Here is an 18,635-nt window from a genome sequence, read left to right on the forward strand (position 1 = left end):
CTTATATTTGATGTTTTCCAAAGCTATCACACTGGCTGGACATGACTTTATTCGTATTTTGCTCAGTATCTATGGCCTGCACCTGCTAGATTATGTGGGTTCATGTCCCATTGGTGTAGAAACAGACTTGAGGTTCCTGTTTTTCATAGCTGATTCTTTTCCTCCCTGTGGTCTAGGCCAATGGCAAGCTTTCTTGTTCCTTCCCCAAATTGGTAAGTAGAGTTTTTCTTTTCTCCTGTGGGGAGCAAATAAAATCTTTATTCCAACTTCAGATCTCGTCAGGGCTCAAGGCCTCATTTCCTGCTGCCATGCCAAGACCTATTCTGTCTTAGCTTCAGATTCTCTTTACTGTGGTAGCTTTGGGTTCCCTTTTGATTTGTGGCACCTGGGAATGTCTCTTTCTTACTTTCAATCTCAGATATATCTTTAGGGATTTTATCGTGAAGGGATGTTGAATTTTATCAAATGTTTTTTCAGTATTGCTTGAAATGATCATATGGTTCTAATCCTTCATTCTGTTGATATGATGTATCACATTGATTGATTTGCACATGTTGAACCATCTTTGCATCCCATGGATAAATCCCACTTGGTCATGATGAATGATCTTTCTAATCTATTGCTGAATTCAGTTTGCTATGATTTTGTTGAGGATTTTTGCATTAATATTCATCAGAGATATTGGCCTGTAATTTTCTTTTTTTAATGTGCCTTTGTCTGGCTTTGGTATCAGGGTGATACTGGCATTGTAGAATGAGTTTGACAGTATTCTCTTCTCCTCTATTTTTTCGGAATAGTTTGAGTAGGATTGGTATTATTTCTTTAAATGTTTGGTAGAATTCAGCAGTGATGCCATTGGGTCCCAGGCTGTCTTTTACTGGAAGATTTTTCATTACTGCTTTGATCTTGTTACTCGTTATTGTTCTGTTCAGGGTTTGGATTTCTTCCTGGTTTAATCTTGGTAGGTTGTATGTGTCTAGGAATTTTTCCATTTCTTCTAGATTTTCCAATTTACTGGCATATAGTTGTTCATAGTAGCCACCAATGATCCTCCGAATTTCTGCAGTATCAATTGTAATGTCTCCTTTTTCATTGCTGATTCTATTTATTTGGATCTTCTCTCTCTCCCTTTCTCTGTTTTATTTTGAGATAGTGTCTCGCTTGGTTGCCCAGCTGGAGTGCAGTGGTGCAATCTCGGCTCACTGCAGCCTCAGTCTCCTGGGCCCAATCAATTCTCCTACATCAGCCTCTGGTTAGCTGGGATTACAGGTATGTGCCACGACTCCCAGCTAATTTTTTATTTTTTTGTAGAGACGAGGTTTCACCATTTTGCCCAGGCTGGTCTCGAACTCCTGGCTCAAGTAATCCGCGCACCTTAGCTTCCCAAAGTGTTGGGCTTACAGGCACGAGCCACTGCACCTGGGCCTTCTCTCTTTTTTTCTTAGTTTGGCTATCATATATGTCTCTAAAAATTACTCAGCATTTCTATTTGTGTGAGAGATGATTCCTGCCTCAGTTCAGTCAGCTTGTCTGATTTTGAGACACTATTTTGGGCTGGGAGTGGTAGCTCATGTCTGTAATCCCAGCACTTTGGGAGGCCAAGGCGGGTAGATTGCTTGAGCCCAGGAGTTCAAGGCTAGCCTGGGCAACATGGCAAAACCCTGTCTCTACCAATAAAATACAAAAGTTGGATGTGGTGGCATATACCTGCAGTCCCAGCTACTCAGGAGGCTGAGGTGGGAAGATCGCTTGAGCCCTGGAGGTAGACGCTGTAGTGAGCTGTAATCATGTCACTGTACTCTAGCCTGGGTGACAGAGCAAGACCCTGTGTTAAAAAAAGAAAAGAAAAAGAAAAGAAGACACTATTTTGGAACTAAAAGCCAAGAATTTGACTTTTTTTCCTGAGTGGGTTCTTTCGAATTCTCTTTACTGGGTCAATAGCCTCATCCCCAAGATATAGGGCAACTAAGCTAGCCAAAATTGAGTATCAGTCACTTGCAGCCAATCTTTAATACAGTGGGGTCTGAGAATTTCTGGCCTTCAGGATAAAGTTCAAGTCCTCCAAACTTTCTGCCCCAAGTATGTTTCTAACTCAGTTTCCTACTTTCCTCTCTTATCTACCCAATGCTTTAGAGAAACCAAAGGTGCTTGTTATTTTCTGTGTACCTCTGAGCTTTCTCATATCCATGTCCTTGCATATAATGTGCTCTTTTCTGTTTGTTTGTTTTGAGATGGAGTCTCGCTGTTGCCCAGGCTGGAGTGCAGTGGGGCGATCTCGGCTCACTGCAACCTCCGCCTCCAGAGTTCAAGTGATTCTTCTGCCTCAGCCTCCCAAGTAGCTGGGACTGTAGGCGCGTGCCACCACGCCTGGCTAATTTTTTGTATTTTTTTTAGTAGAGACGGGGTTTCACCACGTTTGCCAGGCTGGTCTCGGACTCCTGACCTCGTGTTTCGCCTGCCTCGGCCTCCCAAAGTGCTGGGATTACAGGCGTGAGCCACCACACCTGGCCCTATGTCTTTGCGTATGATGCGCTCTTTACCCAGGTACTTTTTTTTCCCCAGGTGACTGGGTCTCGTTCTGTCACCCAGTCAGGAGTGCAGTGGCATGATCCTAACTCACTGCAGCCTCAAACTCCTGGGCTCACACAATCCTCCTGCCACAGCCTCCCAAGTAACTAACCATACACTTTTGGCATTACTGCAGGCCAAATCCAACACGTCTTTCAAAGTCCAGCTCAATGGGTGCTGCTATGAAGCCTGACTAATCTTCTCAGCTTAAAGTTTTGTGTGCTTCCTCTGTATTTCTGCGATTGAAGAAGTCCACTGCAGTGTAAAGGACTCAAGCTGTGAATTGATATCAGGACTTAGGGGCTCAGGACCTGGCTCTGTTACTCCTTAGCTGCCTCTTTTTACCTATCTCAGCTTCAGTTATTATCTAAAACAGATGGAAATATTTCCCTCACAGAATTAAAGTCACTTTTATGACCATTTTGGTTTTGAGTGAAGGAAAATCCATCCTGAAGAGGGCATAGATTGGTTTATATAGGTGAAAAGTCCAGGGGTAGAGATGGCTTCAGGCATGGGGTGGACTCAAAGCTCAAATGCTATCAGCAGGAGTCTGACTATCTTCTCTAAGAGCTGCCTTTTGCTCTGTCACCTTTATGCCCAGGTTCAAAGAGTAGCCTGATGGCTGGCAGCACTCTTAGAACCCAATCTTTCTGCTTCAAGTCCAGCTGACTAGCTTGAGAACATCTTTCTCAAGTCACAACAAAGTTATCACGGACTCTCATTGGGTCATGTGCCCATCCCTGAGGTGGTCACTATGGCCAGGAGAATTTGATGCTTGGATTGCCTAGGGCCCAGGGGACTTGTTCTACCTCAGACCCTGGGGTGCATCCCTGGCAGCAACACATGGGATGAGTGTGGGTGGGTGGAGTTTCTGCAATGAGAAGTTAGGGTGCATTTCCAGCATGGTGAAAGGATGCTAGATGAGAATAACTGCAGAGCTCCACCATAGTTGTGCTGGGGATCAAGTGAGACAATATGAGGAAACTGACTTCGAAAGTCCTGATCAGGCTAGGCGTGGTTATACCAGCACTTTGGGAGGTCAAGGCAGGGAGATTGCTTGAGGCCAGGAGTTCGAGACCAGCCTGGGCAACGTGTCAAGACCCTGTCTCTACCAAAAAACAAAACAAAACAAAAACCAAATTAGCCAGGTGTGGTGACATGTGCCTATAGTCCTAGCTACTCAGGAGGCTGAGGTGGGAGGATTGCTTGAGCCCAGGAGTTCGAGGTTGTAGTGAGCTATGGTGGTGCCATTGCACTCCAGCATGGTGACAGAGAGAGACCCTATCTCAAAAAAACAAAAAAGAAGTCCTGTTCAAACATAAATGATTATTATTATTTGGTTATGTTTCTCTGTGGCACTTAGCACTTTTTTCCTTCTAGCCAGAGTTACCCACTTCATAGTTTAATCTTCCCTACTCCACCCTGAGCAGCTGGAGAGCACGGTCTGTGTTCTAGTAATCTCTAGAGGATTCCACCATTTCAACTCAGCACCCAGAAAATATAAGGTACCCAATAGATGATTGTGGAATAACTTGATTAGTCTGAAATCCAAAGCATTGCGCCCAGAGTTCTGTTAATCCCTAGGCCAAAATCTCAAAAGGCTTTCAAGAACTTGAACCTTTCCCTGGAATCATAGCTAAATAAGCTCTGGCCTTTTTCATAGTGGGTGGGGTGAGATAAATAATTTCAGGAAGATGTGTCCTTGCATTGATTTGTTCACCTGGCCAACCTAAGGCCATCCAGAGAAAGAAAAGTCTTGGTTTGTTTATTTTCTGTTTATTTATTAAATTTCTGGTTTATTTTGCTCTTACTGCCCTCGTTAAATGGTGTGGGCTTCAGGAAAGTGCAGACTGAATGAAGTAACTTCCCGAAGGCGCTGACCTGCAGGGCAGGTTTGGGGCTCCCTCCTGGTCCAGGAGGCCTAAGCGTCCAGGAAGTTTTGAGTTTAATGAAAGGAATTGGTGATCAGTTCTAGTCAAACATCTGGGAGCCCAGCCCAGGTGTTCTCCCTCATGTCTGTGTTGTGTTCATGTCCTTCGATTTCCTATCTGAACACGGAGTCTGGAGCTCCTGAGGATCACAGGAGTTTGGAAAACCAAAAAAACCTTTTTTCTTTCTTTCTTTTTTTTTTTTTTGAGATGGAGTCTCACTCTGTCGCCCAGGCTAGAGTGCAATGGCGGGATCTCAGCTCACTGCAACCTCCATCTCCTAGGTTCATGTGATTCTCCTGCCTCAGCCTCCCAAGTAGTTGGGATTACACGTGCTCACCACCACACCCAGCTAATTTTTGTATTTTTAGTAGATACGGGGTTTCACCATGTTGGTCTGGCTGGTCTCGAACTCCTGACCTCAGGTAATCTACCCACCTCAGCCTCCCAAAGTGCTGGGATTACAGGCATGAGCCACCATGCCTGGCCAGAAAGGCAAAGAGGGAATGAAGGACCCAGATCACCTATTGAAATAGTCTACATGTGGCCCCAGTCCCAGAATTAGCTGGAGCTACTTTTTGGCTGATTTTGCAATGGAGACATTAATTCTTTTCAGCCACAAGCATTAAGTAGAAAAGGTAATGTGGCTTAACTTATAATATACTGACCCACTAGTTTTCAACCTGCCTCATCTTATGTTGCAGCAATGATGCTATTCTAGGAACTTGGGCCTTACCAGGGCAGAAACAACAGGGCCATGCTTTACAGAAGGAAAGTTCCATGATTGCAGGTATCTGAGGAAGTTCATACGCACATAATTAAATTATAGTCTTTGTTAGAAACAGGGTTTCAGCTCTCGTAGACCAAAGACAATTGCTGATGGGTAGGAAGTGGGAATGAGAACAGTCCAAGGACATTGTTGGCAGGCCAAGGGTCACCAAAGGAAACTCTGAGCTGGGCGGGTCAGCAGCACTCGGCCAGCGCTTGGCAGGCTCTGCAGCATGAGCTGGGTGTTGCTTAAAAGGAACTCCCTGTACCACATCTTCCCTTCCTGGATGGTCCAAGTCACTCCCAACTCACTTCTGGAAAGATGTCCCTTGACTTCCAGGTTCTGACCTTGCTTCCCCTTGGTGCCTCTGTCTCTTCCCCAGCTGGCATCTTATCTCGCTTCCTGACCCTAGCTTCCTGTCTGGGCCTCAACAGTGCTCTGAGAACTTCTTCTTTGGGTAATGCTCCCCCTGCCTAACTGCCTTTTTGTCTCTCTTCCCGACATGCAATCACAGGTGCTCTTCCCAGGGACCTTAGGCAGTATGGCCTGATGGAAGGAGCCTGGATTTTGAAGCCAAACAGCTGTGTGTGTTTTTGTTTTGTTTTTTGAGACAGAGTCTTGCTCTGTCACCCAGGCTGGAGTGCAGTGGCACCATCTCAGCTCACTGCAACCTCCGCCTCCCAGGTTCAAGCAATTCTTATGCCTCAGCCTCTGGAGTAGCTGGGATTACAGGCACGTCTCACCATGCCCTGATGATTTTTGTATTTTTAGTAGAGATGGGGTTTTGTCATGTTGGCCAGGCTGGTCTCAAACTCCTAGCCTCAAGTGATCACCACGTTGGCCTTCCAAAGTGCTAGTATTATAGGCATGAACCACCACGCCCATCCTGAAGCCAAACAGATGTGTGTCCTAATTCTGGCTCTTCCATTTGTTAACAGGGTGAACTTGAGCAAATTATTCCATTTCTTCAACTGTAAAATGGGGATAATTTCTCTTACTGGGTTTCTGTGGGGGCTTGATGAGATAAGGGATGTAAGACACTGAGCAGGTTGATCCTTTGTAAATGGTGGCTCTTACTAAAAGTGAAGACAGGCAGGAGCACACACATTGCATAAATACCACCTTCCCGCCTTACCAGTGATAACATCTGACCAAGATACCAGGCATTTACCCTATGCAGAAAAGTCCTGCGTAGATGGAGCTGCCACTTCCTCATTTGTAGTCTGCTCTAATATTTCACAATCTGTGTAGTTAGGAAATAGTTCTTAATATCTAACCTACGTTCCTCCTGCTACAGTATGTCATAGCACACTTATTTTTAAAATAACACCCAGGCCAGGCGTGGTGGCTCACACCTGTAATCCCATCACTTTGGGAGGCTGAGGTGGGGAGATCACTTGAGGTCAGGAGTTCAAGACCAGCCTGGCCAACATGGTGAAACCCCATCTCTACTAAAAGTACAAAAAAAAAAAAAATTAGCTGGGCGTGGTGGTGTGCACCTGTAATCCCAGCTACTTGGGAGGCTGAGGCAGGAGAATCGCTTGAACCCAGGAGGCGGAGGTTGCAGTGAGCCAAGATCGTGCCATTACACTCCAGCCTGGGCGACAGAGCAAGACTCTGTCTCAAAATAAACAAACAAACAAACAGCAAACAAAACACATACACACAAACAGGCCCATGAAAATGAGCAGATTTTTCTATGAGTTAGGCATTCACTTGCCTTGGGTTTACTCTTATTTTCAAGAAACCAGTAAATATTTGTTGTGTGGCCACTGCAGGCAGGGACTGTGCTACGCTGTGCTGGGGAGCTCCAAAGAGGTGTGACAAGACTCCAGCTCTAGGAATCTCGATCCTTCTCTCTTTAGTTTTCAATTGCAGGTGAATGACTGTGTCTATAAACACAGCAAAGGAGTTTAGTGGGACTGATCACCTTGGCAGCAAATCATTGATTGGATGTACAGCTTGGCTCTGGCAAGGATTGAAATGAAAATTGTGGGTCAATCGTCAACATTTAAGCAGATGCCACTAAGTGGCCCCAGGCAACAGGTTATTTCATTCAGCTACTCAGGTGCATTTTGCAACTAATCCTTCTTAGTGGGCTGTTAGAATGAACCACATCTTTTCAGCTATGTGGCCCAGAATCCAAGTGTCTAAGAAGCTTCTGTTGAGGGAAATGTTTGCCCTGCCTGAAAGCAAGGGCAGACCTCTCAACTTCACACATGTCCACTCTGACCCTGTTGTAAGTCTATGGGCTGAGAGGGTACCCTGTGGACCACAGACAGCCTATAGATGTCTTTTGTTTAGTCCAATGGTGTTTTACTTTTGCTTTTTAAGTTGAATTGTTTGCCAAAATCTAAAAACTGATAGATTCACATGATCCAGGTTTCTGGCTTTTCTTGAAAAATGGAAGCTCTGGAGATACTGAAGCTCCATTTCCTCATAGTAACATCACCTGGATCGGAGTGAAGATGCTGTCTTTAGGTGGGGCCACCATTTCCTACTGCCTCACTCTGGTCAGTTTCATCCATCTATGGAACTTGCCTGGGCTCTGAAGCCATTTGAATTTTGGACTCTTGGCCTATGAAGTCCCCTTTGGTCATTGATAGAGAGCACAGCTGCCAGTGATCTGTTTCATTGTGTTCTCTGCTCTCACCTCCTCTATGAGAAATGATACTAGCAGATCAGTGTTTGCAATTCCTGCAGACGTGTCTTCCCCAAGTTTACATTTAATGCCCGACATGAAAGATATTTCACTACAGTTGAAAACATTTCTCATGTTACCTCTTGGTCCTCATATGAGGAGTGAGGGGATGAATCCCCACCCCCCCTTTTTTTTGAGCTGGAGTCTCACTCTGTTGCCCGGGCTGGAGTGCAATGGCACAATCTTGGCTCACTGCAACCTCCCCGTCCTGGGTTCCAGCGATTCTCCCGTCTCAGCCTCCCAAGTAGCTGGGATTACAGGCGTGTGCCACCATGCCCGGTTAATTTTTGTATTTTCAGTAGAGACGGGGTTTCACCATGTTGGCCAGGCTGGTCTTGAACTCCTGACCTCAAGTGATTCACCCTCCTCGGCCTCCCAAAGTGCTGGGATTACAGGTGTGAGCCGCCGTGCCTGGCCTGATGAATCTCTTTTTGAAATTTGTCTCTTTTTAGTGTTTCTAGGTTCTTTATAGTCCAAGGGGCTTCTGTGTGGGCAAAGGAATACCCTCTACAACTTCTAGTATAATTGATGTTCACTTTATCAAATTTATATGCCTAGTAAACAAAATTAGGACATAAGAATTTCTTTCTTTCTTTTTTCTTTTGAGACAGAGTCTAGCTCTGTCACCCAGGATGGAGTACAGTGGCATAATCTCGGCTCACTGCAACCTTCACCTCCTGGGTTCAAGTGATTCTCCTGCCCCAGCCTCCTGAGATTACAGACACACGCTACCACACCAGGCTAATTTTTATGTTTTTAGTAGAGACGGGGTTTCACCAAGTTGGCCAGGCTGGTTTTGAACTCCTGACCTCGGGTGATCTGCCTGCCTTGGCCTCCCAAAGTGCTGGGATCACAGGTGTGAGCCACTGAGCCTGGCCGGAAGTAAAAAATTCTAAGCTACGTTTTTACATTTAAATCCTAATTACAAACTATATTTCTTTTGGGTGAAAATAATAGAAAAGCTTGACTCAAAATGGCTTAAGCAATAAGGATTTTTTTTTTTTTTTTTTTTTGAGATAGGGTCTCACTGTATCACTCAGGTTGGAGTGCGGTGGTACAATCAAGGCTCAGTGCAGCCTCAGCCTCCTGGGCTCAAGTGTTCCTCCTGCCTCAGCTTTTCATGTAGCTGGGACCACAGGTGCATGTCACCATGCCTGGCTAATTTTTTGATTTTTTTTTTGATTTTTTTTTTTTTTAGAGATGGGGTCTCAATTTGTTGCCTAGGTTGAAAGGAAATTTATTATCTCCCATAACATGAAATCAGGAGGTAGGGTGGACTCGAGCACAATATGTCTGGGCTTGGGCTCCATTTCCTGTGATTCTCTCATTGCTGCCCTTCTCAGTGTATTTGTATCATCCTCAGCTAGCAATGTGGCTGGTGCAGTGCCAATGTCATATCCAGACACAGTTCAGAGGAGGAAGTGGGATTCTTACTATTTCCTTTTTTGGGGGACTGTGGAAACCTCTCCTAGAAGCCTCACAGTGGACTTTTCCTGAAACCTCATTGGCCAGAACTGTGTAACACACCTGTTCCTAAATGAACCACTGGCGAGAATGGGATTGCCAGTTGGCTTTCACTAATCATCTCAGAGTGGAATGAATGTTGGGAGTCTATCATAAGGATCACTACATAAACTTAATTTAAATTCCCTTAAAGAATCTAAATTACAATAATAGATTCAATAAGACTGATCTCTTAAACCCTGCAAACATCCTAACACATCAAACCACAGAGAGAAACATGAAAATAAAATGATCACAAAGGCTAAAACTACACTTAACTCTAATTTTAAAACATTAAAATCATGGATTTAATTTATTTTTATTGCCTCTACACTTATTCTTATAAGTAATATTTATTTTGGTATTTTTCTAGGGTTACAGTAATATTACTAGACCCCAAATTCAAATAAGAGTATTTCATACCGGCCAAGGTTGTAGGTTATTTATCTTATTTGTTTGAGATTGATTCTTGGCTGGAGCAGGGGACTTGGTGGCACCTTCTAAACCTTAGTCAGCACGCATTAGGGTGCCTCTTACATCCTTTTAACAACAGAATTGTATAAATTAATTTACATACCATACAATTCACCTGTTTAAAGTTTAAAATTCAATGGTTTTTAGTATACTCAGAGTTATGCAACCATCACCACAATCAGTTTTACAACATTTCCATCACACCAGTAAGAAACCCCTTAAACAGTCACGCTGCAATTCCCCCCTCCTCCTGGCCGTGGGCAACCACCAGTCTACTTTCTGTCCCTTTGAATTTGCCTTTTCTGGACAGTTCACGTGAATAGAATCATACACTATGTGGAGGCTGGGCACCTTTTAATCATTAAACTTTACTTGTTGTCAATGGCACTTGCCATGTCTATACTCTTCATAGGGGATTTCCTGAAATTATGTATTTAAACATTTTTTTTAGAGACAAGATTTTGCTCTGTTGGCCAGGCTGGAGTGCAGTGGTGTGATCATAGCCCACTGTAGCCTGGAACTCCTGGGCTCAAGAACTCCTCCCACCTCAGCCTCCCCAATAGCTGGGACTAAAAGCAAGCACCACCATGCCTGGCTAATATGTTTATTTTAATCTTTGGTAGAGACAGGGTCTCTCTATGTTGTCCAAGCTGGTCTCTAACTCCTAGCCTCAAGTGATCCTCCTGCCTAGGCCTCCCAAAGTGCTGGGCTTACAGGTATGAGCCCCAGCACCCAGTCTCTGTATTTTTAAAATTTTGCTTGGTTAGTATTATATAATTGATTATAGTGTCTTTGTTATACATTAACCTAGATGTTTGGAATGATTGGAAATATTTACATGCCTTATATATTAGACATTCACTCCCTTCCTTACTTCATTCATGCCTGTCTTCCATTCCACTTTCTTTTCTTCCTTCCACAAATATGTATTGAGCAACTTCTGTGTATCAGATATTGGAGTGCCAGGCCCTGGAGATCCAACAGTGGACATGCATGCACGGCCCTTTCCCTCGTGGACTCATGGCTTGGTGTAGTCCTGTCCCTTCTGCTGATGACTTGAGGAGGCCATGCCATGTGGGTGCTGCTGAGTTACCACTCAGAATGATACAGCAAGCCTTCAGAGCAGCTTCCTTCTCCTTCCCGTGTTTCCAATCTTTCCTCATCTCTTCAGCCATCTAACCCTTGACATACTATCTTCAGGTGTGTAATTACATAATGTATGCAGACTTTTCTGTAGATACATAACAGAAAAACAACTCATAAATATATATCAGGTTTGCTTTGTTATCAGGTTTTATTTGATTAAAATACTAAACTGTTTGTTTATCTCATACTTCGATTCTTCCATAAAAGGATTAAATTTGAAGCATAGTACAGGTTATTTATAAATAGCCAAAGTATACATGTGCAGAGCTAACTGGAAAATCTTACAGTTGAGCACTAAATTTAGTTTAGACTACAAATGAATGCAAACAAATTTGCATCAATGAAGAGAGTTCTGAATGGTAATATATTATTCAAATGAAGATTATAAAAAAGAAGAGGTTACAATAATAAATTTGGTGACAGGTTAAAAATTAAGGAAGTATGTGGTAGAGAACATTACTGAAGTTTCTATTTTAGAATAAGATAGAGTTGGATAAAAATCAAACATTTTAATAAAAACCTATGGTCTTAAAAAGAAAAATATTCTTCAGTTGTATCCCCTGGAAACAATGTCCCTCTAACTCATTATCGAATTGTTTTATTTCTTGTATTTTTTTGTTGTTGTTGTTGTTGTTGTTTGTTTTTTTGAGACAGAGTCTTGCTCTGTCTCCCAAGCTGGAGTGCAGTGGTGCGAACTTGGCTCACTGCCACCTCTGCCTCCTGGGTTCAAGTGATTCTCGTGCCTCAGCCTCCTGAATAGCAGGGATTACAGGTGCGCACCACCACCCCCGGCTAATTTTTTTTTAAATTTTTGGTAGAGACGTGGTTTTGCCATGTTGGCCAGGCTGGTCTCAAACTCCTGGCCTCAAGTGATCTGCTTGCCTCAGCCTCCCAAAGTGCTAGGATTACAGGCTTGAATCACTGCGCCTGGCCTATTGTATTTCTTCTGTTAAGTTTATTTTGCATATAAAATATATTTTTCTCTGCTAATGAGGGAAGAGTGTATTCAGGGAACTTGTGAGTAAGCCAAAGAGTTATGTAAAAAAGCAGGAATTATACCAAGAACAGGAAAAACTGAACAACCTTCATGGTCACTTAATAACCAGGTAAAAAGAGAGTCTGATAATGTGTTACAAAATGGTGTGTAAATCAGATGCCATTAAAAAAAAAAAAAAAAAGCTGACCCTGCAGACTCAATCCTTCCTTTCCTGGCTGGTAAAACCTTTGAATGACACTATTAATAAAGATTAGATAAGGGGGGACTGGAAACATGGGAAGGAGGAGGAAGCTGCTCTGAAGGCCTGCTGTATGGTTCTGAGTGGTAACTCAGCAGCACCTACATGGCATGGCCTCCTCAAGTCATCAGAAGGGACAGGACTGCACCAAACCATGAGTCCACGAGGGAAAGGGCTGTGCATGCATGTCCACTATTGGATCTCCAGTGCCTGGCATAATACCTGATACAGAGAAGATGCTGAATACATATTTGTGGAAGGAAGAAAGGAAAGAGGAAAGGAAGGCATGGAGAAAAAAGGAAGGGAGTGAAGAATGGAGGAAAAGATGTTCTATGCTTTCCCAGAGGGAGAGGATGAATGGCGAGTGATGACCTCTTCTCTACTACTCTCTCCTATTAGTTTCTTGTGTGGAGTCAGAGGCCTGAGTTGTTCTGTCCTTATTGAGTCAATAATTGGGCACAGGACAGGTGGATATTCAGCCTGAGGCTGAACTGGACCTTGGAAACCAGTATTTGCCCTGTCCTACTTGGATGCCAATATTTGCCCAGAAACTCTATGGATACGTAGCTGTCAGTTAGAGGTTTGCATCAGATTCAAACCGTAGATGTTCTCATTAGAAGAAGATGTTAGGAAAGAGGAAACACGTGAGTATCCCAGAATTAGGACTTCAGAGGAGCTTCAGAGCTGCTTCCAACTGTCTCCTCTGCTTCTAACTGTCTCCTCTGCTTCTCTCCCACAAGCTGAAGTCAATGGCTACAGTAGCCATAATTGAAGGGTTCTTTGCCACTCCCAGTTCAAGTAGGCTAAAATTTCATCCAGTGGAGATTAATTTACACTTGTAGGTTAATACCCATGATGGCTGGAGCATTGGTCATTCACTCCTGAATATAAATTGCTTTAATTTAGATTGGTTTCCCACACTTAGGAGAAGATTTTGATGGAGAGAGTGGAGGGGAGATTTTGGACCCCTCTGGTGGTGCTCCTTCCTTCCGTCCTCCGTCCCTCCCTCCCTCCCTCCCTGCCTCCCTCCCTTCCTCCCTCCCTCCCTCCCTCCTTCCCTCCCCTTTTCTCTTTCTCTCTGTGTTTCTTTTTTTTTTTTTGATACAGGGTCTTGCTCTGTCACCTAGGCTGGAGTGTGGTAGTACAATCACAGCTCACTACAACCTCGAACTCTTGGGCTCAAAAGACCCTTCCACCTTGACCTCCTGAGTAGCTAGGACTACAGGCAAGTGCTACCACACCTGGCTAATTTTTAAAGTAATTTTTTAGAGACGGAGTCTCACCATGTTGCACAGGCTGGTCTCAAACTCCTGGCCTCAAGTGATCCTCCTGCCTTGGCCTCCACAAGTGTTGGCATTACAAGCATGAGTCACTGCTCACTGCTGTAGCTGCATTTTCTTAGTCTTTTTTTCATGGGCTCCTCTTTAAGCCACTCCTTAATTTTAGCTGACCCGTATCCCCACCCCACGTAGTTGAAAATTCTCTTATAACTTTTGACTTCCCCAAAACTTGACTACTAATAGCCTCCTATTGACCAGAAAAGGAAGAAAAAAGCTGGAGGCCTCACACTTCCTGGTTTCAAAAGCACTACAATGCTATAGTAATCAAAACAGTATGGCACTGGCGTAAAGACAGACATATAGACTAATGGAATAGAATAACAGTTAATAAACATAAACAGTTGATTAACACATATTTTGTATGTTATATTTATTATATACTGTATTCTTACAATAAAGCTATAGAAATAAAATATTAAGAAAATCATAAGGAAGAGAAAACATATTAATATTTATTAAGTGGAAGTGGATCATCATAAACTTCTTCATGATGAGTAGGCTGAGGAGGGGGAAGATGAGGGATTAATCCTACTGTCTCTGAGTGGCAGAGGCAGAAGAAAATCTGCATTTAAGTGGACCCACACAGTTTAAACCTGTGTTGTTCAAGCATCAACTGTACATGTATGTTACACCTGAGCTGGGCATTACCCACAAGTCCTTGGGCTGCACTCTTGCCTTTGACCATAGGAACCATGAGAAAATCTCAGGCATTTCTTCAGGCTCTGCCTCTTGCCCTTGGGTTTGGATCCATGACTTGGCCTGTTCTCCCTGATTTCTCCACCTCTAGGTTTATGCCAGATTCCCCTCCTCTCTGTCTTGTCCTGAGATTTCACTACTCGACTTGGCCTTTTTTTCTAATTTTTTTATTGTGGTAAAATACACGTAACATAAAATTTACCGTCTTAACTATTTTTAAGTATACAATTGGTAATATTAAATACATTCATAACATTGTGCAACCATCATCACCATTCGTAACTCTTTTCGTCTTGTAAAACTAAATCTATACCCACTAAACAACAGCTCCCCATTCTCCTCTCCCCACATTCCCCGGCAACCACCATTGTACTTCTGTGTCTATGATTTAGACTACTCTGTTAAGTACCTCATATAAGTGGAATCATATAACGTTGGTCTTTTTGCGACTGGCTTATTTCATTTAGCATAATGTCCTCAGCCTTCATCCATGCAGCATGTATCACTATTTCCTTCCTTTTTAAAGCTGAAGAATATTTCATTGTATGTATATGCCACATTTTGCTTATTCATTCATTCATCCTTGGACATAGGTTGCTTTTCCTTTTTAGCTATTTTGAATAATGCTGTTATGAAATGGATACACAACTATCTCTGAGACCCTATTTTCAATTCTTTTGGGTAAGATCCAGAAGTGGAATGGCAGGATCATGTGGTAATCCTATTTTTAACATTTTGAGGAACCATCATATTGTTTTCCACAATGACTATATCATTTTACATTCCTACTGTCAGTGCACAAGGTTTCCAATTTCTCCACATCCTTGCCAACACTCGCTCTTTCCTTTTTTTTGATAGTAGGTATCTTAATGGGTGTGAAGTGACAGCTCATTGTAGTTTGACTTTCATTTCCCTAATAATAAGGTTGAGCATCTAATCAACATTAGCAATGTTAAGCATTAGTTTTTTTGCATACCTTCTTTGAATATTCAAATCCTTTGCCTACTTAAAATTTGAGTTTTTTGTTGTTGTTGTTGAGATTGAGAAGTTCTTTATATATTCTAAATATTAAACTCTTAGGCAATACATGCCTTGCAAATATTTTTGCCCATTCTGTGGGTTGTCTTTTTGCCCTGTTGAGATTGTCTTTTGATGCACAAAATTTAAAAACTTTCATGAAGTCCAATTTGTTTATTTTTTCTTTTGTTGCCTGTGTCTTTGGTGTCAAAGCCAAGAACCCATTGCCAAATTTAATGTGAAAATTTGTCCTATGTTTTCTGCTAAGAGTTTTAGGTCTTACCTTTGGGTCTTTGATCTATTTTAAGTTAAGTTTTTTATATTATGTTAGGCAAGAATCCAGCTTCATTATTTTGCCTGTGGATATCCAGTTTTTTCAGTATTATTTGTTGAAAAGATTGTCCTTTCCCCTTTGAAGGGGCTTGGCACCCTTGTCAAACACCACTTGATGATATACGCTAAGGTTTCTTTCTTGGCTCTTTATTCTATGCCGTTGGTCTATATGCCTGTCTTTATGCCAGTACCAAACTGTTTTGGTTACTGTAGTTTTGTAGTAGTTTTGAAATCAGGAAATGTGAGGCCTCCAGCTTTATTCTTCTTTTTCAAGATTGTTTTGGCTATTTGGTGTCCCTTGAGATTCCATATGAATTTTAGGATTTTTTTCCTCTCAAAAAGAGGGAGTTTTGCTCTTGTCACCCAGGCTGGAGTGCAAGGGTGCGATCTCGGCTTGAACACCTCCCAGGTTCAAGCAATTCTCCCACCTCAGCCTCCTGAGTAGCTGGGATTACAGGCACATGTCACCACACCCAGCTAATTTTTGTATTTTTAGTGGAGATGGGGTTTCACCACGTTGGCCAAGCTGGTCTTGAACTCCTGACCTCAGGTGATCCTCCCACCTCAGCCTCCCAAAGTGCTGGGATTACAGGCTTGAGTCACCGTGCCTGGCATAGGATTTTTTTTTTTCTATTTCTGCAAAAAATGTCACTGGGATTTTGATAGAGATTGCATTGAATCTGTAGATTGCTTTGGGTAGTATTGACATCGTAACAAAATTAAGTCTTCTAATCAATGAACGTGGGATAACTTTCCATTTATTTGCGTTTTCTTTTTTCTTTTCTTTTTTTTTTTTGAGACAGAGTTTTGCTCTTGTTGCCCAGGCTGGAGTGCAATGGCACAATCTTGGCTCACCACAACCTCTGCCTCCTGGGTTCAAGCAATTCTCCTGTCTCAGCCTCTTGAGTAGCTGGGATTACAGGCATGCACCACCGCACCCGGCTAATTTTGTATTTTTAGTAGAGACGGGGTTTCTCCATGTTGGTCAGGCTGGTTTCGAACTCCCGACCTCAGGTGATCTGCCCGCTTCTGCCTCCCGAAGTGCTGGGATTACAGGTGTGAGCCACTGTGCCTGGCCTATTTGTGTTTTCTTTAATTTCCTTCAGCAATGTTTTGTAGTTTTCATTGTACAAGTCTTTTACCTTCCTGGTTAAGTTACTTATTAAGTATTTTACTCTTTTTAAAATATATATCTTAAAAATTTCTACTTTTTTTTGAAATGGGGGTCTCACTATGTTGCTCAGGCTAGTCTTGAACTCCTGGCCTAAAGTGATCCTTCTGCCTCAGTTGCCCAAAGTGTTGAGATTACTGTGCTTGGCCATTTTATTCTTTTTGATGCTCCTGTAAATGAAATTGTTTTTGTAATTTTCTTTTTGGATCGTTCATTGTTAGTGTATAAGAAATACAGCTGATTTTTGAGTGTTGATTTTGTATCCTGCAACTTTGCTGAATTCATTCACTAGTTCTAAACATTTTGAGCGGTGGAATCTTGGGGTTTTCTACATATAAGATCATATCATCTGTGAACAGAGATAATTTCATTTCTTCCTTTCCAATTAGAATGTTTTTTTTTTTCTTTGCCTAATTGCTCTGGCTAGGACTTCCAGTACTGTGTTGAATAGAAGTGGTGGGAGTGGGCATCCTTACCTTGTTTCTGACCTTAGAAGAAAAACTTACAGTTTTAGACTATTGAGTATGATGTTGGCTGTGGGTTTGCCTGGCTTTTTGATTCAGTTTCTCCTTAAAAAATCCTGTCTTTTACCACCTTTGTGACTGCAAAGACCAAAGAATATTGGCCAAAATACCATTCTACAACATTCCGCAGTCCTTTTTCTCCTTCATCTCTCACATACTTTTTTGTTGTTGTTTTGTTTTTTGAGACGGAGTCTCGCTCTGTTGCCCAGGCTGGAGTGCAGTGGCATGATCTCAGCTCACTGCAACCTCCGCCTCCTGGGTTCAAGCGATTCTCCTGCCTCAGCCTCTTGAGTAGCTGGGATTACAGGCATACGCCACCACGCCTGGCTAATTTTTTATTTTTATTAGAGACGGGGTTTCACTATGTTGGTCAGGCTGGTCTCAAACTTCTGACCTCGTGATCCCCCTGCCTCGGCCTCCCAAAATGCTGGGATTACAGGCATGAGCCACCGCACCCGGCCTGTTTTGTTTTGTTTTTGCTCCCATACGTCTGCACATGCAGCTACCTGTTTCTGGAATGTCATTCCTTCCCCTCTATAGCTATCTGTGAACTTTAATTCTCAAGTCTCAAATGCCACATGTAGTAAGCTTCTCCTGACTGTACTCTTACCTCTGTCCTCGGTGGGTCAGGCTGATATGGATTTTCATGCCTTCAATGCAGCAGTAGATCTGGCCTTGGTCCCAGTGGAATTATCACTAAATTGGGATTTTTCATAGAATGCTGGGCTCAGCTGAAACTCCAGTTTGTAATGTCTGAGAAGTCTTTCAAAGTTAGTCCTGTCACCCAGTTCTTATCATTAAAAGATCATATTTTGCTGCTTTTGTACCTTGAGCAAACCACCCAACCCCAAGGCATCAGAGGCCTTTGTCCTCTTTGGCATCAGAACTCTATTATTATTATTCTCCTTTTTCCTGTTTGTCACTCTCACCCCTCCCATTTGGATAGGCTATCATGATTATGCCATGCTTTCACAGCTGTTATTATTTTATTCATTCTTCATAATAACCCTGTGAGGCAGAGAGGGGTGTTGTTTTTGCCAGTTGAGGAGCCTGCAATCTCACCTGACTCTGAAGACATGAGACAGGCCTAACTTCCTCAGGCTCTGGTTAAATCCTGGGGCTAGCTTATGAGACTTACTGTGGAACCAGAAATGACCTTTCCTCCTCAAGAAATGGCAGTAATGAAGATGCTATCAGCTACTGCTGAACCCAGTGACCAGGGGGACCCAG

The sequence above is a fragment of the Homo sapiens genome, chromosome 11, assembly GCF_000001405.40.
Source record: "Homo sapiens chromosome 11, GRCh38.p14 Primary Assembly".
Lineage (NCBI taxonomy): Eukaryota > Metazoa > Chordata > Mammalia > Primates > Hominidae > Homo > Homo sapiens.